The sequence below is a fragment of the Homo sapiens genome, chromosome 22 (genome assembly GCF_000001405.40).
Source record: "Homo sapiens chromosome 22, GRCh38.p14 Primary Assembly".
Taxonomy (NCBI): domain Eukaryota; kingdom Metazoa; phylum Chordata; class Mammalia; order Primates; family Hominidae; genus Homo; species Homo sapiens.
The window spans coordinates 44,453,559-44,469,392 of record NC_000022.11 but is presented as its reverse complement, the minus strand read 5'-3'; the positions used below and the strand labels follow the sequence as shown (position 1 = coordinate 44,469,392).

Genomic DNA, 15,834 nt, shown 5'->3' with positions numbered 1-15,834 from the left:
ACTCCGGCCTGGCTACAGAGCAAGACTCCGTCTCAAAAACAAACAAACAAACAAACAAACACCAAATAGAAAGGGGAAAATAATAAAGATGAGCTTAGAAATTAATGAAATAGAAAAAAGTAAGAGAAAATTAATGAAATCAGCAATTAATTCTTTGAAAACACTTAAGAGACAAGGAGTCACTTGTTTGAGTCTCTTTCCCTAGAGACTCTCAGCACAAATGATGATCTCATGCATGTATCTGTGATAGCCAGATAGAGTCAAGTGCTTAGGACAAGTATTCCAGGCCAGAGGAAGGTGGAGGGAGGTTTAACACTGGAAGAGAAGTCTGTGATGGAAGCAGAGCCTGGAGGGTTTATAATGGGTTCTGCAACCATCACCATAGTTAATTGGCATTTATAATACCAATTATAAATAATTGGTATTAATTCTTTCTTAAATGTTTGGAAGTGAAGCCATCTGGACCAAGGCTCGTCTTTGTGGGATTTTTTTTTAAATTACCAATTTAATCTCTTTATTTATTTGCTCAGATTTTCTATTTTTCCTTGAGTCAGTTTTGGTAGTTTGTGTCTTTCTAAGAAATTATCCATTTCATCTAAGTCATCTAATTTATTGGCATATGATTGTTCATAGTATTTAAATGGCATCTTTGAAGATAAGAGAAGTGGCTACGCACAAGCTAAGGAGTATAGGTGGCCTCTGGAAGCTGTGAAAAGCAAAGAAATGGGTGCATTTCTAGAGCCTCTGGAGGGAGCATGGCCCCGCTGACACCCTGATTCAGCCCAGTGTAACCCATTTTGGTCTTCTGGCCTCCAGATTGTAAAATAATAAATATGTGTTGTTTTAAGCCACCAAGTTGGTGATAAATGGTTGTAGCAGCTATAGGAAACTAAATAGAGGCTATCAGGAAAAACTGTAGCAATTTAATTGAAACTTTACATAAAATGGATAAACTTCTAGAAAAACACATGCTCCAAAATTGGCACAAGAAAAAGAAAATCTGGATAATCTTATAACCATTGACTTTTAACTAAAAACCTTCCCACAAAGAAAACTCCAAGTCCAGATGGCTTCACCAGAGAATCCTGCCCTGCAAATAACACTTCTAATACACAACCTCTTCTAGAGAAAGAAAAAAAGGGAAGATTACCTGATCCATTTTAGGAGGCCAATTTAATTTGATATGAAAAAGAGAAGAGGGTAGACAACACAAGAAAGAAAAATTACAGGCAACCTCACGCAAAACACAGATGCAAAAATTCTAAACAAAACATTAGAAAAGTGACCCACCTACAAGGTAGATTTAACATTGTAAACTCAAATGTTACTTGCCACATTAACAGTTGAAGGAGAAAAAGTAAATGTTCATTTCGATAGATGCAGAAAAAACATTTGACAAAGCCCAAACTCCATTTACGAAAAAAGAAACTCTTAGAAAACTAGAAATATAGGCTGAGCACAGTGGTTCACGCCTGTAATCCCAGCACTTTGGGAGGCCGAGACTTTGGGAGGCTGAGGCAAGTGGGTGACCTGAAGTCAGGAGTTAGAGACCAGCCTGGCCAACAGGCAAAACTCCGTCTGTATTAAAAATACAAAAATTAGCTGGGCTTGGGGGCGCGTGCTTATATTCCCAGCTAGTCAGGAGGCTGAGGCACGAGAATCGCTTGAACTGGAGAGGCAGAGGTTGCAGGGAGCCACGATCATGCCACTGCCCTCCAGTCTGGGTGACAGAGTGAGACCCTGTCTCAAAATGATAAAAAAATAAAGAAAAAGAAAAAAAAAGAAAAAATTTAATCTGATAAATGGTAGCTACAAAAACTATAGAAGACATGTATTTATTGGTAAAATGCTGAAAACCTTCCTTTTAAAATTGGCAGCTAGATAAAGATACCTGCTCCCCCACTTCTCTTCAGCATTGGACTGAAAATCAAGCCTTACTGTAAGGCAATACAAAGAAATGAGGTCATAAGGATTGGAAATGAGGAAACAGATTCATCATTATTTACAGAGAATTTGCTCATGCATGTAGCAAGTCTAGAGATTCTACAGGTACATTATTGGAATTCATTAGAGAGTCTAGTAAGTCAATATACAAAAGTGAGTTGTATTTTTGTATACTAGAAACAAACAGCAAATGGAAATTTAAAAGATGCCATTTAAATACTATGAACAATCATATGCCAGTAAATTCGATGACTTAGATGAAATGGATAATTTCTTAGAAAGACACAAACTACCAAAACTGACTCAAGGAGAAATAGAAAATCTGAACAGATAAATAAAGAGATTAAATTAGTAACTTTTTTTTTTTTTTTTAAAAGAAAACAACTTTCCACAAAGAAGAGCATTGGTCCAAATTGCTTCACTGCCAAACATTTAAGAAAGAATTAATATCAATTATTTATGAGTTATTCCAGAAAAATCAAAGAAGAGGGAAAACTTTCACAACTCATTCTATGAGGCTACTATTTTCCTGATGCCAAAACCAGACAAAGACATTACAAAACTACAGACTAATATCTTTTATGAATATAGATACAAAAAGTCTGCAATAAAATACTAGCAAATAGAATCCAACAAGGATTGTCCACCATGACCATTTGGAATTTATCCCTATAGGCAAGGTTGATTTAACACCCAGAAACAATTAGTATAATACACCATATCAGTACAGCAGTAAACCACATGACCATCTCAATAGATGCAGAAAAAGCATTTGACAGGCCTGGCGTGGTGGTTCACGTGTGTAATCGCAGCAATTTGGGAGGCCGAGGCGGGCGGATCATGAGGTCAGGAGATCGAGATCATCCTGGGTAACACGGTGAAACCCCATCTCTACCAAAAATACAAAAAATTAGCCGGGCGTGGTGGCGGGCGCCTGTAGTCCAGCTACTCGGGAGGCTGAGGCAGGAGAATGGCGTGAACCTGGGAGGCGGAGGTTGCAGTGAGCCGAGATCGTGCCACTGCACTCCAGCCTGGGTGACAGAGAGAGACTCCGTCTCAAAAAAAAAAAAAAAGCTTTTGACAAAATTCAACACTCTTTCATGATAAAAATACTCAGACTAGGATTAGAGTTCACCCTCACTGCTTCTGTTCAACATTGTACTGGGAGTTCTAGCCAGGACAGTTAGGCAATAAAAGAGGAATCTGCATTGGAAAGGAAAAGGTAAAATTATTTTTATTTGCAGATTACATAACCTTTTGTGCAGAAAATCCTAAGCAATTCACACACACGAAAAGTAGAACTAAGAAATGAGTTTAGAAAGTTTCAGAACACAAGATCAATATGCAAAAATATATTATATTTTTATACAATAGCAATGAGCAATCTGAAATGAAATTAAGAAAATTTACTTACAATAGCACTAAAAGGAACAAAATACTTACAGATACACTTAACAAAGAAGTAAAAAATATATATTCTGAAAGCTATAAAACATTGTTGAAAGAAATTAAAGAAAATCTAAATAAATGGAAACATATCCCATGTTCATGGATCAGAGTAATTAATATTGTTAATATAATTAATTTATATAATCACAATAATTTTTATTATTGTTTATATTTGCAATATTTATTATTAATAAATTAATAATTAATTTATATTAATAATTAATAATTAATTTAATTTATTATTTATATTTATATCTATATTTTTATATAATAATTTATATTGTTTTATACTCCCAAAATGATCTATAAATTCATTGTAATCACTGCCAAAATCCAGGCTTGCTTCTTTGCACAAATTGACAATCTGACCCAATAATTTATATAGACACTAAGGGATCCAGGATATGTAAAACACTCTTGGAAATAAAGAGCAGAGTTAGAGGATTCACACTTCCTTATTTCAAAATTTACTATAAAGCTACAGTACTCAAAGCAGTGTGGTATTGACATAAGAATAGACATATATATCAATGAAATAGAATTGAGAATCCAGAAATGAATCTTCACATTTATAGTCAATTGATTTTTGACAAAGATGTTAAGACCATTAAATGGGGAAAATAGTCTTTTCAACAAATGGTGCTAAGACACCTGACTATCTACATGCAAGGGAGTGAAGCTGGACCACTATTTCATGCCATATAAAAAATTAACTCAAAATGGGTCAGACCTAAGAGCTAAAACTATAAGTCTCTTAGAAGGAAATCTGGGGGTAAATCTTTGGTTTCTTAAATATTCAGGTAGAAGGCTGGACTCAACTCCAGAAGTGGGGCTTAGACTCTGGACCAGATTGAAGACTAGCTGAACCAAGGAAGAGGCAAAAGCACTCTTAAGTCTCCATAAGACACACCCACCAATGCCATGTCAGCTTACTATTGCCATGGCAAGACTGGAAGTTACTGCCCCTTTCTATGTCAATGATCCAGAAGTTACCATCCTTTTCCTAGAAATTTCTGCATAACCTGACCCTTAATTTGCATGTAATTAAAAGTGGGTATAACTATGACTGCAGAACTACACCTGAGCTGCTACTCTGGGCACATTGCCTATGGGGTGGTCCTGCTCCGCAGGGAGTAGTACCTCTGCTGCTGCCATACACTGCCACTTCAATAAGTGTTGATGTCTAACATCACTGGCTCACAGTTGAATTCTTTCTTAGGTGAAGTCAAGAACCCTCCCAGGCTAAGTCCCAATTTTAGAGCTTGCCTGCCCTGCATCACCAGCAGTTTGAGAGGCCAAGGTGGGAGGATCGCTTGAGGCTAGGTGTTCGAGACCAGCCTGGGCAACACAGAAAGACCGTACAGCTACCAAAAAAAAAAGTTATATATATAATATTTTTTAAAGAATAATGCTTCTATGTGGCCAGGCACAGTGACTCATGCCTGTAATCTCAGCACTTTGGGAGGCTGGGGTTGGCAGATTGCTTGAGCCTAGGAGTTCAAGACCAGCCTGGGCAACATGGTGAAACCCTGTCTCTACAAAAAATGCAATAATTAGCTAAGCATGGTGGTGTGTGCCTGTAGTCCAAGCTACTTGAGAGGCTGAGGAGGGAGAATCACTTGAGCCTGGGAGGTTGAGGCTGCAGTGAGCTGTGATCACGCCTCTGCACTCCAGCCTGGCTGATACAGCAAGACCTTGCCTCAAAAATAAAAGAATAATACTGCTAGGAACATTTGTGTACTAGTTTTTATGTGGACATGTTTTCACTGCTGTTAGGTGTATTCCTAGGAATGGAATTGCTGAGTCATATGGTAACTCTATGCTTAACCTTTTGAGGAACGATTAAATTGTCTTCCAAAGTGGCTGCACCATTTTACATTTTGCAGTGAATGAGGGTTCTAATTTCTCTACATCCTCACTAACACTTGTTATCTGTCTTTTGATGATAGCTATTCTATAGCTATTCTATAACCACATAGAAGCATTATTCTTTAAAAAATATTATATACATAACTTTTATAATATTATATATTAACATCTCATTGTATTTTGATTTATATTTCCTTGATGGCTAATAATGTTGAGCATCTTTTTGTATGCTTATTGGCTCTTCATATATTTTATTCAGAGAAATATCTATTCAAATCCTTTGCCTACTTTTAGTTGGTTTGTCTTTGTATTATTGAGTTGCAAGAGTTTTTTTATATGTTCTAGATACAAATCTCTTATCATATAGATGGTGTGCAAAAATTTTCTCCGATTCTGTGAGTTGTCTTTCCACTTTCTTGATGGTGTCCTTTGAAGCACAAACATTTTTCATCTTGCTGAAGTTCATTATATATATATGTCATGTGAGCAGTGTAGGAGAAATTGCCCCTGCTCAGATGCCCTGACTTACGTGCTCAGGACAAATTCCCAGAGGTAGACTTTCTGGGTTGAAAGGCATGCATGCTCCTACGAGTTTCTGCAGCTGTCATTAGTGTTCAGGAAGATGTGAATGGCTTTGTTTTCTACAGGCTGAAGGGGCACAGAATTGGCGTCCCATCCCAGTCTGATACTCTCTGAGCTTCTTGGGGCAGCTTCTGTCTGCCTCCAGGGCCTAGAGAGAGAAGGAACATGGCTGCATTTCTGTCCTGAGTTGAAGTTGTTTGCTGATGACCCCAGCTCCTGGGACCTGCCTCACTGCCCTATGCCAGTGCAGGGTCAACTCCACACGCAGGGGCCCAGGTGGGTGGTGGCCCAGGCATAGACCTTTTTCCAGCCCAGTTTTCCCTCCATATGAAACTGTCCCTTTCTCTAGGAATGTCCCAGAATCAAGGAGCATGCTGTGTTGAAGGAGAACTTCAGGGTGCAATTCATCCCTTTGGTGGCTTTAAAAATAGACCAGCCATTATGCAGGTAATATGTTAATGTCAGGATTAGCATAATATGGTAATTGGCTCAGAGGCCACCGGGCCCACCTCATCTTTGGAGAGTCAAACCGAAGTATATTTAAAGCAAAGAGTTTGCTCCCTGGCAAGGCTCTCCTTCAAGTAAACCCACAAGGAGGGAGGAAGAGCAGAGGTCCCAGAGATGGCTGAGAGAGAGCATCTCAGAGAGGAAGCCATGCAGGCAGAACAATCCAGCACCAGCTGCCGGTGCCAGAATTGTGCATTCATAAATGCAAATGGATCCGCCCGGGACCTGGAGTGGCGGGCAGGAGATAAATGGAAAATTTTGGAATATAATTAACGTAATGGTAGTCCTCCGGCCCCGCAGAGTTCAATTTGCAGAAGCAATGTTTCAATCCTGGGCTGTTTATCACACCATGGAGGCCGGTTACGCAGAGATAACAGAAAAGCTGTTGTGTGGTCTGAGCGGTGATTTGTCTTGGAGAGGATCCTGATGGTGATGTTTAAGGAAACGTTATTACCAAGACATGTTGGGGAAAATGAGCGGGTCCGGTTGGATGACTGGCCTCCAAGCACTCTTGATAAGACTGACAGTCTTGGTGAGCCTGTGAAATTGCCAGACCCCAGATTTCACCCCAGAAGCAGGAGTTGGTGGGCTGAGAAGCCCAGGCTGGGGATTCTGTGGCCTCCTCTCAGGTGACCCAGCTGCTGTATGCGACCCTGGGGGGGAAAGAACTCTGTGTCTTTGGAGGTAACCGAAGACAGAATAAAGGCTTGGAGGTGGTAGTGGATGCTGCCAGTTGCCTAACTAATAGCTACTCTCCCTGATTTTGGTCAGAGTTGCGATATGCCCATTTAGAGCACTGGTTCTCCCAGCCTCCTTTGCAGTTAGAGGTGGCCTGATGGCACTGTTACGGTAAAAAAGATGTGAGTGACAGTCACTAGGGATGGCTTTTAGAAAAGCTTTGTAAAAGGACCAGAGCCAGCTGCCATTTTCCTTTTTTGGAACTTTGTGTTATAAAAAAATTCCTGCCTGGAATGCAGAGGTAGTGTTTTGGTCTTAGCACCTATTTTGTGACCATGGGGATCAAAGTCACAGGCAGAGGATGATGGAGTGACAGGAGGGAGGGAGCCTTGGCACTGATGACATTGTTGGACTGAACCAGCTGAATGTGATCTCTGGGCTTTTCCATGAGACAAAACTCCTTACTTGCTTAAGCTGCTGGACTCTGTGATGCTAACTGGCCCAGCGTGATCCTGCATGTCTCTGGAGCTCAGGAGAGATGCTGGACGTGCCACTCTGGTAGTTATCCCCACGCAGGTAAGAAATGAAGCCCTGCCAAGCATGAGTCCTCCTGGGGTGAGGAGAAGGGCATCCAGAGAAAGCCCAGGACATCAGCATTAGAGAGAGGCAGGTTGAAGAACCAGAGCCCTCCTAAGAGTGAGGAGGGACAGAAGAATTTGGAGAACAAGGTGTTACAGAAGTCAAGGGTCTCCAGTTTTTTCAGCCACTCCTGGCATACTCTCCCAGATAAATAAAAGGTACTTCACCTGCAATGGCCCCTAAGTGGAATCCATCCTCTACCCTCAGACCTCCTCTTCCGCCTCTACTGTCCATCCAAGTAATGGCTTCGTCACGCACCTACATCCCTTCTCCCTCAAACACCCTCCCTTGTGAAGCTCTTCCCTCTCCCCTCCATTCTATCTCGATCTCTATCTCTAACTCTATCTCTGTCTCTGTCTCTGTGTCATAGTCTAAGCTTCTAGTATGTCCTGCCTAGACCATTTCATTGTGTCCTGCCTGGACCATCATGTCCTGCTTGGACCTTCATTGAATGTCAATACATGTTCCATCCAGCCTTTCTGTGCATGCCGACATGGCTTTCCAAAAATCTTTATGTTACTCCTTTGCTTAAAACCCTTCAGTGCCTTCCCTGCTGCCCCCACCACCCCCAATAATCTGCTTGGCATGGACTGAAGGCTCTTTATTATCTGGCCCCGCCCCATCCCTGTTTAGCTGATACTGTAGGCATTTCAGATGATTCTGTTGCCTAAGTGAGTCGTGTTCTTCTAGCATTCTGAGGCTTTGCTATTTCCTCTTCCTGGAATGCCTTTCCCCTGGCCCTAGTGGTGAGCTCCTGCTTATCCCTAGCGAGCCTTGTCAAGCTCTTCTTCTTTGAAGCCTGGGTTCTGGGGTCAGAATTAATTTCAATTTCACTTTCATTACTATGGCACTTCACTTGAACCCAGTGAATTGAGAAACTCAGCATACTGCACATCCACACCCACATCCCTCACCAGAATGTGGGCTCCTTGATATCAAGAACCATGTCTGAGTTAAAGTACTCAACACAAGGCTTGGCTTGGTGTTTCGTGAGTCATTGTGGGATGGTGGATGGATGGATGGTTGAGTGACTGGATGGATGGATGGATGGGTAGGTGGATGGATTGGTGAATGAATGAGTGGATGGATGAAAGATGAGTGGGTAGATGGATGGATGAGGGGGTGGGTGGATGTTTGAGTATGTGGGTGGGTGGATGAGTAGGTGGATGTATGGATGGGTGGGTGGATGAATGGATGAGTGGGTGGGTGATGAGTGGGTGGGTGAGTGGGTGGATAGACGGGTAGATGTATGAACGAGTGAAAGGGTGGATGAGTGGGTGGATGGGTGGATGAGGGGGTGGGTGGATGGTTGAGTAGGTGGATGTATGGGTGGGTGGGTGAATGGATGAGGGGGTGGGTAGATGGATGGATGAGTGAGTGGATGACTACATGGGTTGATGAGTCCAGTGGATTCATGAATGGACAGGTGGATGGATGGGTGGGTAGGTGGATGGGTGTGAGAATGGAAGGACAGATGGATGGATAGGTAGGTGGATGGAAGGATGGATGAGTGAGTAGCAGGGTAGATGGGTGGGTGGGCGAATGGATGGGTGGACGGCTGGATGGATAGATGGATGAATTACTGGGTGCATTCACTTGTTCTTTCCTCTGCCTTACCTGTCTTCATAGCCCTTAGCACCATCTGCATCATGAACATTTACTTATTTTTTTACATATTATCCACTTTACCAAACTAGAATGTGAATTTCATGAAGAGAGAAACTTGTTGAAGACTACTTTCTCAAAGCCGAAAATTGTTTCAGACACATAGCAACTGCTCAATAATAGCCAATTAACAAAGAAATGAGGCAGAGGCCTGGAAGGAGGGTCCAGGTCTTCTTTCACCACGCCCAGGCCACCTTACATGCTCTAATGTGGTGTCTTCTTCCATTGAAATAAAGGGACACAAAAAGGGATGCCTAGACTCAGGGCCAGTCCAGGTCCAAATGGGGAACAAGATTTGCCCTTGAGCGACCGGAATCTTGGGCAAGTGTGTTACATGCTGTATTTCTGACTCAGAGCATGAGGGAGAATAGAGGAACAAGAGGTGGGATGCAGCTTGTATGAAAGGAAACTTCTGAATGGGCACAGGGAAGGCTTCCTAAAGGAGGAGGTACCTGAATTGGGCTTGGAAGGATATTTAGGATGAAGATGGCAGATGCAGGCATGGAGGGACAGAGGTGAGTGGAGTTGGGAAAGAAGGCAGGGGCCAGTTTGGCCTTAGGGAAGGGTGCAGTGGATGGAGGGATGGGCAGGAAACAGTTGGGGAAAGTAGATTGGGAGCAAGCCTACTTGTAATATCTGAGAAATGACCTAGAAGAGGTATCTAGGGGCACTGAAAAAATAGGCCAACACAGGTGGTGCTCTTGGTAGGGCCTTGTATCATAGGGCTTGCAGATCCTAGCAGCAGGTGTGTGCCTGGGGCTGCCCACAGGGTGTAGCTCAGAGGCGGACATGTGACCCAAACTGGCCAATCAGGGTCTTCTCTGAGACACTCTCTCTCTCTCACTTCCTGGAGCAAGACAGTCTCTGAGCCTGTCAAGGGTGAGACGCCGTTGAACCAACTTCCCAGTCAGTGAAGATGAGAAGAAAAGCCAGGAAAGCCCACATGCCACATGGGGCACCTGGAAGACTGGCTTCGTGGGTGCAGAGGTAATGCCAGCTTCTGAGTTGTGGGCAAAAGCCAGAATGAGAGTGAGGTGCCTCTTGGGCTCGTGTGAAGGGAAATTTCTACAAGGTCACTGGGGAAGACTTCATAGAGGAGGTGGTGTCTGAACTGGGCCTGGAAGGATATGTAGGATGAAGATGGGCAGATGCAGGCATGGGGTCCACCAGCCCTCATCCCTTGGGAATAGAGCACCTGGCTGACGGTCCCTGGAGCTCATGCAGAAGCTGGAGCCTTTGGGGGCTTGGTAGGAAGACGTGAGCATGTGGGGCACACTGAACATGGAGAAGAGAAAATGCAGCAGCTTTGCTCAGAGAGGCTCTTTCCACCAGGGCCCGCGGGCCGATCGCCCAGGGCTTGGCAGAGCTGTGGCAGCACTCCTACGCCAGCTCAGGTGCAGGAGCAGGGCTGGGGGTGGAACCAGGAGAGTGAGGTCAAGGCTAGAGGGACGGTGCCTGGCCGTCCTCACACCTCAGCTGCCAGAGGTGGCCTGGGGACCCACTCCAAAGCCCCTGGGTGTAGCCCGCCTGGAGCAGAGCCCTGCAGCTGCCCTGGGCCCACATGGCTGGTTGCTAAGAGACCAGAGCCTGGAGGCCGACAGCCAAATTTCAGGCTGTGACTGAGTAAGGACCCTGGCTTTTGCCTGTGGCTCATGGAGTCTTTAGAAACTGAATTCTCAGACAGCCACCTGAGGTTGAGGGGAGCAGGGCCTAGAGAAATCCCACAGCTGGGAGATAGGGTAGCTCGAGCTCAGCCCTCCCATCCTGCCTTGGAGCCAGTCCAGATGGGCCCAGAGGAGGTGGCACAGGGAGATGCTCCCAGTGGGCACACTAGCTCCCCAGGGCTCCCTGAGCTGCAGGAGGGATGTCTCCGATGTCACCCGGACCGTGCTTATCCTCCTCCCACCATGCTTAACCTCCCTGTGTGCCAACACATGCACACACGTGCATGCACACACCCCACGCAGACACCAGACATACACACAGCACACTCGTCACTCACACGCCACACACCCATGCACACACACACGCCACACCACATACTACACGTGGTTGCAGTCACACCAGATATAGATGCATGTTCCAAGATATCACTTTTTCTCTCCTCCAGGCTTCCTTCTGCCTTTTTCTAGAAAATCTCTAAGGTCCTGCATTAAATGTCAGATCACGGGAAAGGCTGTCCCTGAACTCGTTCAGCCGGGGGACTCTGTGATCCCTTACAGAGCACGGCCTATGGTGCAATTGTTGGTTGAGGGACTGAATGCACCTTACACTGTAAACTCCTTCGGGTCAGGAGCTGAAGCTTCTTTGTGGATTATAGCCAGTACGTAACTCAAGACAGGCTTTCACCAAATGCTTATTAAATTAAGAGGCCAGGCATGGTGGCTCACGCCTGTAATCCTAGCACTTTGAGAGGCTGAGATGGGAGGATCACCTGAGGTCAGGATTTCAAGACCAGCCTGGCCAACATGGTAAAACCCCGTCTCTACTAAAAATACAAAAACTAGCCAGGCGTGGTGGCGGGCGCCTGTAATCCCAGCTACTCAGGAGGCTGAGGCAGGAGAATCACTTGAACGCAGGAGGCAGGGGTTGCAGTGAGCCGAGATTGTGGCACTTCACTCCACCCTGGGCGACAGAGCGAGACTCTGTCTCAAAAAAAAAAAAAAAAAAAAAAAAAAAGGAATGAAGAGTTGAATGAATGAGTGACAAAAAAACAGAACCAAGATTTGTTAAGTGCTGGGCCAGAGCCCTTTCTTCTGTCTCTCTCTTTTGAAAGGGTAAGGATATTTTACTCATTCTGCTTACGTTTAATGCATTTTGTTATTTTAGCTCAAACATAATTGCCTTTTCAGCATTTTTCTTCAAAATGATGATTTAGGGTCATCCAAATCTCAGTGCACATAGTGATAATATTTCTATATGATTTCCATTCAAAGTGAAGAATTTAAAATTTGGGGATGCTTTCAATAAGATCTAGTGAACAAAAGGAGCTTTTGCCCAAGATGATATCTTTTAAAATGTGCTCTATAAAGTTGCTTGGGGTCTAGGAGAACTAGATGATGGGGCTTTTCTAGGAACATCTGCGGACAGGCTTCCAGGCCCTTCCCAGAGTCTCTGCCCATCCAGGCCTTCTCCCCGGGTCCCTGAGGCCTCCACCACCTCCCCTCCAGCTTGCATCCCCCTCTACAACTATCTGAAGGGTCCCGACCAACATCTGCACCTCCCCTACCAGGCTTTACTCCCAGCCTTCTTTTTGAACAGGAAGGCATCTCGAAACTCAGTGTCCCAGGAATAAACTGTTCGTATGTACCCTCTGAGCCTCTGGAAAGAGGCTCATCTGAATCTTCAGGAGCAGGTTGAACAGCATCAGGAAGCAACAGATGTTTCAGCCCTGTCTAGGGCTCCATCATTCTAGGTGCAGAACATCTAGGCCCTCTCCAGCCAGGGTTTTTTCCTGGACTGAGAGCTGATTATTTTATTTTATTTTATTATTTTATTTTTTTGAGGCAGAGTCTCACTCTGTTGCCCAGTCTGGAGTGCAATGGTGCGATCTCGGCTCACTGCAGCCTCTGCCTCCCTGGTTCAAGTGATACTCCTGCCTCAGCCTCCTGAGTAGCTGGGATTACAGGCACCTGCCACCACGCCTGGCTAATTTTTTTGTATTTTTAGTAGAGACGGGGTTTCACCATGTTGGTCAGGCTGGTCTCGAACTCCTGACTTCAGGTGATCTGCCCATCTTGGTCTCCCAAAGTGCTGGGATTACAGGCATGAGCCACTGTGCCTGGACTGCTTATTTCTAAACCTAAATTTAAGCTTTCATTCTCTCCCTCCATTTCACTCTCTGCCCTGAGTGTGGGTCATGGTCGTCTTAAGATTAAAAACCAATGATCGAGTGGATGAGTCAAAAATGCTGGACTGATGTCTTGATTTGACTTCCCACTCTGCCACCAGTGGTAAGTCAGGTTTCTCATCTGAGCCTCTGTTTGCTCACCCTGTAAAGTGGGAAAATCCTATGACCCTATTTTTGTAAAGATAAGTCAAGAAAATGAACTGCTATTAGTGGAGGGCTTCATGACCATGAGAACTACAGAACCTGAAGAAAAGCATCCAAATAGTCCGGGTATTCATGCACGGTAAACCCCTGGAGGCACGTTCCTCTGTGACCGTGCATGCGTGTGCACACATACGAAGGTGACTGGCTCTCCCGCGACTCACAGAGGTGACTCCGGCAGAAACACAACGCCAGCACAGCAGGTCCTGGGGTGTGATGGTACCTCCTCCTGGGTGTCAAGTGGAGACCAGAAGTGCAGAGGACCAACCTCCTAAAGGCAGAAGAAAATGGCAAGTGGCCAATCGTTATATGTTGAGGCTACCATTGCATGTTCTGGGTTTACCACCTCTGTTTACCAGCCCGGTAGCCCTGGGCCTATCACTTAATATTCTTGTGCCACAGTTTCTTATCTTCAAAATCTGGATAATAATGGTAGCCACCTGCTCAGGATGTTTTCAGTTGCAAAGAACAGGAAACCACAAGAACCCAAATGGGCTTTTAAAGTAAATGTCAAGATGACATTCGTTTGCTAAACCGAAAGGCTCAGGTGAAGTGTGACTCAGCCGTTCAATGATGTAACAGAATATCTACTTTTGTTTTTTGCTTTCCCTCTACTTTCCTTTCTATGACATCAGATTCATCCTAAAGCTGGCTCCCTTTAGAGTCCAAAGAGGTCTGCCAGTGGCTCCCAGGCCTGCATGCCTCCTCATTAACATCCTTTGAGAGAGACAGAGTTTCGTTGTCTCATGCAAATATCACTACAGGTCCAAGTCATTCCTCAGAGGCTGGTATTACTCTTATCGGACCAATCTCAGTCCACCCCCAAATTGGAACCAATTACTAGGCCAGGGGATGGAATACACTGACTGGTTCAGATCAGATCACATGCTCCAGCCCTGGGACTGAGAGTAGAGCCAGTTTACTTGGACATCGAAACGGACATAGGGGACGGTGGGAAGGGAGAATAATGCTAGGAGGTGACGATTATTTATTATAGTCCTCACAGCCCTTGGCTACCCAAGGTTCATACAGATCCTTCCTCTTCCCATGAACATTCAAAGTTGCCTACATCCATATAAACACAAAGAAGACAACCAAAATCTCTTCCAGCCTTCCAGGGACTGCCTTCATCTCCCAGTTCAAGATCTCATTCCAGGAATATTTACAGTCCTTCCATCAAATCTGGATGGAAGTTATCATAGTACAGGGAAAGAATAATAAAGAGAAATTAGCTCACAGGACCGAGATGTCCAGCAGGAGAGAGGCTCCTGGTGTGGTTTGGTTTAGAGGTTCTCAATGGCATTGGTGCTCCAGATGTTCCTCTGTAATTCTCTCATATCAATCCTTCACCAAGCAGGGGCTTTTCCCCAGTGGGGTTTCCTTATAGCTGCCAACAGCTCCCAGAGTTACTTGGGCCCTTGTCCCTGTACCATGGTAGCAAGAAGGCAGTCAAGTTTTGAGTCATTGCAAATCGGCCAGCATAGACTTTTGAGGTTGCAAGCAACAGAAATGCAACCCTAGCTTAAAAGAAAAGGGAAGTTATTTGTGGTCCGTGTGCCTGGGATGGGGAGGACACTGGATGTCCCATAGCAAGGGTGACAGGGCTCAGGCCACTTCAGCAAGGTTCTAAGGGGCAGCCCCATTGCTGTCGTGGATGGGCAGCACCCTCTGCCTTCCCCTGCCCTCCCTGAGCTGTGGCTCCTCAGTAAGGAGTTGGACACACAAACCCTCAGGTCCCGGAATCGAGGGGACCCTGAAGGGCATCCACACACCCGAGTATCATGGTACAGCAACACACGTGCCCCCATGAAGGGACAGTCTAGACTCCCCAGCCTCCCATCCAAGGCCAGCAGAAGCGCTTTTGCCAACATGCAGCCGGCTCCGCATGTTACCTTCTCAACCCAATTAAAGGTGGCTCTAGGGAGCGAGCTCGGAGCTGATAAATGTGCAGAAAGCAAACTGGACGCAACCGGAAGGCAAAATCTTTCCCATCACATAGACCAACTGTGCTCTGGTGGTCACATGGGATCTTTCCCATCACATGGACCCAATTAGCCGAGCCTGTGCTGTGGTGGTCACATGGGGAGCTCACAGGCTGTGGGAATCCGGAGCTTGCAGTGCAGTGATGCTGTGGTCCCCAGGCATGGCCACTTGCCCTGACATAGCCTGAGTCTCCTTCACAGAGGTTTGGGTTGTGATTTTAATATAGAGGAATTGTCCTGGGCCCACATGATAATACCTGCCCTATTAAAATGCTTTTTGTCCCTGACACCTGGATGAGGCCCGAGGACAGGTGTGTGGGCAGGAAAAGTTCAGAAAGGAGCTGAGATTGAGCGAGGCCCTACTGCATACCAGGACTGCCATTCCCTGCCTCACCGCCATCGCCACAGTGCGGCCCTGTTATCCCCACATTCGTTTTCCTACGTGTGTGTTGGGGGAGGGATTTGGAC

General features: G+C 45.2%; 1 annotated feature.

Annotated features, from left to right (window-relative positions):
* Window positions 13,657–13,806: an enhancer, noted in NCBI's record as "active region_19211". NCBI's record gives its function as "activates an Ori minimal core promoter by ATAC-STARR-seq in GM12878 lymphoblastoid cells {active_cell/tissue: GM12878}" and the evidence as "EXISTENCE:reporter gene assay evidence [ECO:0000049][PMID:35858748]".